This window comes from Homo sapiens, chromosome 1 (genome assembly GCF_000001405.40).
Source record: "Homo sapiens chromosome 1, GRCh38.p14 Primary Assembly".
Lineage (NCBI taxonomy): Eukaryota > Metazoa > Chordata > Mammalia > Primates > Hominidae > Homo > Homo sapiens.
In genome coordinates, this window is record NC_000001.11 from 11,357,169 (window position 1) to 11,365,311 (window position 8,143).

Here is an 8,143-nt window from a genome sequence, read left to right on the forward strand (position 1 = left end):
CACTCAGCTAATTTTTGTATTTTTAGTAGAGATGGGGTTTCACCATGTTAGCCAGGCTGGTCTCAAACTCCTGACCTCAAGTGAACCACCCACCTCAGCCTCCCTAAGTGCTGGGATTACAAGCATGAGCCACCGCGCCAGGCCCCCCGCCTCATTTCAACGTCAGTTTGAATTCTTCCTCTTTCAAGAAGTTTGCTCGATAGAACAGACTAGGCCTGCTAAGAATGTTTACTTGCTCCCCATTCAGCCACGTTTCCAGGAAACCGCCTCCTGAGCCTTTCGCTGTCTGGAGAATCTGGAGGCCTCCACCCCCTATCCCTGCAAATAGAAATGCGGGGTTTGGGCTCCGGTTCTAGTGGCCTTGGTTTCTGCCTTGAGCCTAGAGCTCTCACAGATTCTGACAGCACCTCGGCCACTGTGGGTGCTCAGGGGATTCGTGGAGCTGTCAGGCCTTCTCTGTGGCCGGCGAGATCTCCTGCCGCTTGTAGAGAAATGGGATTGATACATTACATATTTATGACCTGTTGAGTTCAAGGGAGACAGGCAGGAGAGGAGAGAAAAGGCAGCCAGGGAAGGGGTGCTGAAAAGGGATCCCCAGCTGTCCCCGGCAAGCTTGGTGACCAGTGAGCAGGACTCAAAATTGTAGTTTGACTGATCACCTGCAAACACAAGGAAGCTATGTCCCTGGGAGCTGGCAGGGAGGGTGCAGGGTGGCACCTAGCAGCAAAAGAAAACAAAATAAACCTGTTATAATTTGCATCGCTGCGGAAAGCAGGGCGCATGCAGGCGGAGCGGAGGAGCCCCTGTGGGAGGGGGGCAACCAGGATGGGGGCTCTGTGAGCGTGAACTAGAGAACCCAGAAAGACACACAGTCCCTGGGAACCTGGAAGCTACCGTGTTCCTGCTGCACCCTTACGTGTGTACTCTGCAAGGTGGGTACCACCATCCCCATGTTATGGATAGATAAATCGAGGCTCAGGGAAAAGGCAGTATGTCCTTCCAGTATGTCCACTGGAAGGCTGTAAGCCAGAGGGGTTAAGAGTTTGGAATCCAGAGGCACTCACTCTGCTTAGCTTTGAGTTTCTGCCTAGAGACTTCCCGGCCATGTGACATCGAGCACACAGTCTCAACTTCAGTCTTCTTGTCTTCTTATCATAAACTTGGTTACGATTACTGGGAGGGCTGCTGGAAGAGTTATTAATAAATGAAAAAATGTACATCATTTTTCATGGCACTTTGCACATAATAAGAGCTCAAAAATGGTAACTATACAGCCGGGCACAGTGGCTCATGCTTGTAGTCCCAGCACTTTGGGAGGCCGAGGCAGGCAGATCACTTGAGGTCGGGAGTTTGAGACCAGCCTGGCCAACATGGTGAAATCCCATCTCTACAAAAAATACAAAAATTAGCCTGGCGTTGTGACGTGCACCTGTAGTTCCATCTACTCGGGAGGCTGAGTTGGGAGGATCGTTTGAACCCGGGAGGTGGAGGTTGTGGTGAGCCGAGATCACGCCATTGCATTCCAGCCTGGGTGATAGAGTGAGACTCCGTCTCAAAAAAAAAAAAATATTATCATGGTGCATCTCCTGGGCAGACCTCATTCCATCCATCCATCCATCAATTAATTTAACCATCAAACTTTGATTGCCAAGTACTTGGTACACAGGTGATGAAGGCACAGTCCTCGCAAGAAGAGGCTTGCAAACTAGTAAAAGAGACAGACACACAGACACATAATCAAATATGCAAGGATGGTGAGAGAGGTTTGAACAGAGCCTGTGGCAGGGGTGGGGATGGCTGATTCTCCTTGCAGATGGGTCAGGGGCTGCAGAGCTGATCCTCCAAACGTGAGGGATGGGAGTTTCCTCTGAGCTGGGAAATGTGTGGCCGAGCTCACCTTCCTTCCTTGGCCTCCCTCCTCCATCTGTTCCAAGCAGCCCTTTGGATAATGAGCTGGATGGTCAATGATGGCAGCAGCTAATTTTCCTGCTCACAGACTGCAGTACCATGTGGCCTGGCCCAGCTTCAGTGGGCGTGCTGCAGGCACCAGATGTCTCTTAACGTCTTCTCAGTTCAAGATTGATGAAGAGGGGCAGGGGTCCCCAAAAGACTGCCCTCCTCTCTCCACCTCCTGCGTTGTGGCCTGCCCTCCGAAATGCTTTGAGTGCTTTGGTTCACTGCCATGAGCAGGCTCAATTGCCTACCAGCATGAGGACTGGAGTTTATGAACCCCAAACCCGAACACTTGGTCTGGTGCGTACTTTGGCAATAGAGCAGAATACCAGGATTGCCATGAAATTGCAACAGATGGGAGGGAGGGGATACCTGTGCGGTATGGTTGAAGGGATTGAATGACATGGGCCCCCAGCAACAGCAACAACACCCACCGCCGCCCCCACACACATGCTCCCCACTCCCCACTCAGTTCCTGATACCTGGGGTTTCACAGTCTTCCTTTGTCTAGAGTTTATTCCTATAGTCATGCCTCTGTGCCTATGTCCAACAAATTTATGGAGCCCTCCAGAATGCCAAGCCTCGTGCTAGGCATGGAGGACCTGAAAATGAACAAAACCCAGCTCCTGCTCGTGGTCACAAAACTCACCCTCAGCTGGGGAAAGAAGACTCACAAATAGTCGAACAAACCCAACAAGGCTTGGAGTGAAGCACCATTTACAGGGTGCTGGGGCGCTGGCGAGGGCTGCCTAAACTTGCTGAGGGCCAACCTCGAGGAGAGGGGAGGACAGGGAAGGCTTCCTGGAGGAGGTGACTCCTCAGCTGGATGTTGAAGCTTGAGAAGGAGCCAGCTGAGCGAAAGGGGCTGGGGTGACAGAGGAGGGGTTTCAATGTAAGGTGGCCCCTGGCACAGGTGCTGTAATGTGCCCATGGCTTTCTCAGCTGGTGCTCCCTGGTGTGGGTGTCATGGAAACTCTCCCGAAGGCACATGGAGGTGAAGCAGGGGATGGCCTGGGAGAGCCCGGAGCCCTGTGCAGCATAAAGGATGTGAGGGTGTTACTGGAAAGGGGTCCCAATCCAGACCCCAAGAGAGAGTTCTTGGATCTCATGCAAGAAAGAGTTGAGGGCAAGTCCATAAAGTAAAAGCAGGTTTATTAAGAAAGTAAAGGAATAAAATAATGGCTATTCTATAGGCAGAGCAGCCCCGAGGGCTGCTGGTTGCCCATTTTTATGACTATTTCTTGATTACATGCTAAGCAAAGGGGTGGATTATTCATGCCTCCCTTTTAGACCATATAGTGTAACTTTCTGACGTTGCCATGGCATTTGCAAACTGTCATGGCGCTGTTGGGAGTGGAGCAGTGAGGATGACCAGAGGCCACTCACGTTGCCATCTTGGTTTTGGTGGGTTTTGACTGACAGGCTTCTTTACTGCAAGCTGTTTTATCAGCAAGGTCTTTATGACCTGTGTCTTGTGCCGACCTTTGATCTCACCCTGTGACTTAGAATGCCTTAACCATCTGGGAATGCAGCCCAGTAGGTGTCAGCCTTATTTCACTCACCTCCTATTCAAGATGGAGTTGCTCTGGTTCAAACGCCTCTGACAGTAGGAGCTAAAGGTGAACTGAGGGCAACCTCCCTGGGCTTCAGCAGGAAGGGACAACACTGGGAAGAGAGAAGGAAAGGAAGCTGCCACCACAAAGCACAGACCTCGTACTTTGTGCTGGATTTGACCCTTTGTGCCTGCAGGACAATGCCAGGCTATTTTACTTTTGCCCCTTTCTTGGGAGCACTTCTCATCAGTTCCCTTCTGTGGCTGGTTAGTGCCCTGTGCGGGGCCTGGGGCTTCTATTTCTTCTATTTTTACTAGAGCAGCTTATTCAGGCTCTGCACATAGGAGGGGCTTAATGAAGGGTGCCTTCGGTTGAGACACAGGGATCTAGTCGGGGTTTCCAGAAAATCTGCCTGGGCACTCACACTTCTCTAAAATGTCCTCTTGGCCCCGGGAGCCAGGGGGTTGTAGTGGGAATCTGGGGCCCTCGGTCCTAAGCATGGAAGCTTGGGTAAGCCTGAGAACCTTTCTGGGTCAAGGCTTCCTCATCTGTGAGCCTGGGGTGGGGCATTTGGCAGCTCTTTGAAGCGGGATACTTTGTAGGTACCTCCTTACCCCACCCTTCTTCTCACGATGTCAGCTCATCTGCAATGCCCTGTCTTGGGTTTTCGTTGGCCACCAGTGCCATTGTGGGAAGGTGTGACTTGGGGACACCCACTGGATCAGCAAGCATTTATTTATTTATTTTCGAGATGGAATTTTGCTCTTGTCACCCAGGCTGGAGTGCAATGGCGTGATCTCGGCTCACTACAATCTCGGCCTCCTGGGTTCAAGTGATTCTCCTGCTTCAGCCTCCCCAGTAGCTGGAATTACAGGCATGCACCATCAGGCCCAGCTAATTTTTGTATTTTTAGTAGAGATAGGGTTTCACCATGTTGACCAGGCTGGTCTGGAACTCCTGACCTCAGGTGATCTGCCCGCCTCGGCCTCCCAAAGTGCTGGGATTACAGGCATAAGCCACCGCGCCAGGCCAGTAAGCATTTCTTTAGTTAGTTTTTCAAGCCACAGGAAGCCTGATCTTGTGCGTTCAGCTACTGCCCTCAGTCTCTGTGTATATTGTGGCTATTACAGACACTATTAGCATCGATCGATCAGCCCAGTGTGGCCAACCAGCTCTGCTAGAGGAAGGATTCTTGGCTTCCGTAGACCCAGCAGGGACCCACTCTCTAGTGTGTGCAGGGGGAGGGAAGAAAGGGAAGGAGAGAGGCAGGGAACGCTTGAGGGAGTGAAGAAGTGGATGACTATGGGCTATGCTGCTTAATAAATCCGCTGCCAGACTTTAGCCTTCACCCCACGAAGGCCTGTCTCTCACATTATATGTTCAGTGTGGTTTAGAGGGGATGGGGCTGTTTTGTCCAGCATAAAGGCCAAAGACCCAGACCCTTGGGGGCTCCATCATCCTGTGGCTGCAGCACCTGGAAATGAGACTCCCAGGGTCACTGCAGCAGGGATGAGAGAAGGGAAGACCACACACTGGCTTCCTTGTGTTTCAGCTGGAAGTGAAAGTGACTCCTGTTACTTTTTTTTTTTTTTTTGAGACAGAGTCTCACTCTGTCACCCAGGCTGGAGTGCAGTGGCGCAATCTCGCTCACTGCAACCTCCACCTCCCCGGTTCAAGCGATTATCCTGCCACAGCCCCCTGAGTAGCTCGGATGGCAGGCATGCACCACCATGCCCAACTAGGTTTTTTTTGTGTGTGTTTTTAGTAGAGACAGGGTTTCTCCATGTTGGCCAGGCTGGTCTTGAACTCCTGACCTCAGGCGATCTGCCCACCTCAGCCTCCCAAAGTGCTGGGATTACAGGCGTGAGCTACCGCACCCAGTCTTCTCCTGTTATTTTCACTTGCAGCCTTTTGGCCAGACAAGTCACATGGCCCTGAGGCGGGTGCTGGAAAACGTGGAGGAGGGGTGGCTTTGGTCGCTGGACACACATCTCTGCCACGGTGACTGACGGAGGCTGTGAAAGGACAATCTGAGTGAAGAAGTGAATGAGGTGAGAGGTGAATGAATGAAAGAGTGAGCGGAGGGTGCGAGGGCTCATTTCCCAGCCTGGGAGCCTCTCAGGACGGGCCGAGTCCCAAGGTTCCCGGTAGCTGCACAGAGCATCCCTCCCCTGGGGGCCGTGTCAGCCACAGTCCAACTGTCACCTCCGGAATTACATTTCAAAAACTCGTTTTGAGAGAGACAAGCTGGGCCCTGGGGGGCTGTATCTCTGTGTCCTTGTCCTTGGGAGGTGGAGAAAGGAAAAGGGGAGGAGGAGGAGGAGGAGCAGCGGGAGGGACGGGCCAGGCTGCAGAAAGCAATTAGTGGAAAATGGGAAATTACTTTCTCTGTGTGTTTGGCATCACCGCCCTTCCCCAGCGGCTTCAGTCAGGTTGTGCTGGGCGCCAGGCAGGTGTAGCCTTGGCCAGGGATCCACTAGAGCTAGTGGGGACCGAGGGCCTGGGATGAATCAAGGAGGGCTGGCCCCAGAGTCCTGCACGTACACTTTTTTTTGTTTTTTGTTTTTTTTTGAGATGGAGTCTCACTCTGTTGCCCAGGCTGGAGTCCAGTGGTGCAATCACAGCTCACTGCAACCTCCGCCTCCCAGGTTCAAAAGATTCTCTCACCTTGGCTTCCTGAGTAGCTGGGATTACAGGCGTGCACCACCACGCCCAGCAAATTTTTGTATTTTTAGTAGAGACGGGGTTTCACCATGTTGGCCAGACTAGTCTCAAACTCCTGACCTCAAGTGATCCGCCCGCCTCAGCCTCCCAAAGTGCTAGGATTACAGGCATGAGCCACTGCGCCAGGCCTACACTTGGTTTTATCAAAAGAAGGAATGAGGTACCATTTCATCTTAGGCATCGCTGTGGTGCCAGCACGTGCTTGGATTCTTAGCTGGGGTCCATCCCTCCCAAATTAGAGCCTGAGACAAGTGCTTGAGCACAGGTAGTTAAATTGGGAAGCAGGCTTGGGTGAGGGTATGGGTCGGGGGCGGTGAGGAGGGCCAGGGAAGGAGGAGAAGACATTCAAGGCTGCCATACTGAGGTTACTGCCGTGGTCCACAGGTGCTGATTCCACAGGGACTTCCTGAGAAGGGCGGAGTGGCTCCCAGCGGACGGGAAGTATGTGATGGCTCCCTTCCCCATTGGCCGAGGGTCTCTTGGGGGTGTTGACTCCCCTGCGTTCTGGGCTGCATTTGCCTTGAGGGGGTCTTGACCCACAGCGCATGGAGGCAGGAGGTTGCTGTTCTCTGCTGCCTCAGCTGACATCACCGGTGGGCTCTGGGGAGGTGGCCCTGGGGTACCGGAAGCATGTGCCACGCAGGGGCAGGGCAGCCCTGGAGGGGTGGAGCCGGGGACCCCCCGATGGGTGCCAGTCCCACTGACATCTTTCTCCACTCCCCGTTCTACTTCCACAGTTAGAGACCGCCTGAGAACAGGAAACCTACCTCCTCTATTTCTGGGTTCCCAGTGTCCTGCCCAGAGCCCATCATGTGGCAGAAGCTCAGGACACAAATGTCAGGGGCAGAAGACTAAGTCCTTGCTCTGGGCAGGGGTCAGGACGTGTGCAGCTCCTTGGCCCCAGAATTGTTTCCCTCCTGCCTCACTCCCTGGTGTAGAATTTGGCCCAGACGCTCCCTGCCATGTGACTTGGCAGGAGCTCCCTCTAGAGGAGGGGTAGTGATATAGCTGTAAATCTCACGTTGAGGCTGGGCGCGTTGGCTCAAGCCTGTAATCCCAGCACTTTGGGAGGCTGAGGCAGGCGGATCACCTGAAGCCAGGAGTTCGAGACCAGCCTGCCCAACATGGTGAAACCCTGTCTGTACTAAAAATATTAAAAAAATTAGCTGGGCATGGTGGTGCATGCCTGTAATCCCAGCTACTTGGGAGGCTGAGGCAGGAGAATCGCTTGAACCCAGGAAGCAGAGGTTGCAGTGAGCTGAGATCGTGCCACTGCACTCCAGCCTGGGCAACAGAGCGAGACTCCATTAAAAAAAAAAAAAAACCTCATGTTGAAATGTGATCCCCAATGCTGGCGGTGGGGCCTGGTGGGAGGTGTTTGGATCATGGGGTGGATTTCTCATGAATGGTTTAGCACCATCCTCTTGGTGCCGTTCTTGAGACAGTGAGTGAACTCTCTCGAGATCTTGTTTAAAAGAGTGTGGCACCTCCCTCCATGTCTCTTGCTCCCACTCTTGCCATGTGAGATGCCTGCTCCCCCTTCACTTCAGTCACAATTGTAAACTTCCTGAGGCCTTCACCAGAAGCTAATGCTGGCACTATGCTTCTTGTACAGCTTAGAGAACCATGAGCCAATTAAACTTCTTTTCTTTATAAATTGCCCAGTCTCAGGTATTTCTTTATAGCAATGCAAGAACAGCCTGACACAGGGAGTGTATTTTTGCATTGGTTATAGACTACATTGTATCCATGATTAAGAATAGGCTGGGCACGGTAGCTCACGCCTGTTATCCCAGCACTTTGGGAGGCTGAGGTAAGCAGATCACCTGAAGTCAGGAGTTCGAGACCAGCCTGACCAACAAGGCTAAACCCCATTTCTACTAAAAATACAAAAATTAGCTGAGCATGGTGGC

General features: G+C 52.5%; 1 long non-coding RNA gene across 1 annotated transcript; it reads left to right on the forward strand.

Moving 5' to 3' along the window:
• Positions 1-776: 776 nt before the first annotated feature.
• LOC105376739 (uncharacterized) lies at positions 777-7,887 on the forward strand. Its single transcript, XR_946958.3, has 4 exons — positions 777-932; positions 5,414-5,557; positions 6,615-6,671; positions 6,968-7,887. It is a non-coding gene; the product is annotated as an uncharacterized LOC105376739 (long non-coding RNA).
• The last annotated feature ends 256 nt before the right edge of the window (positions 7,888-8,143 follow it).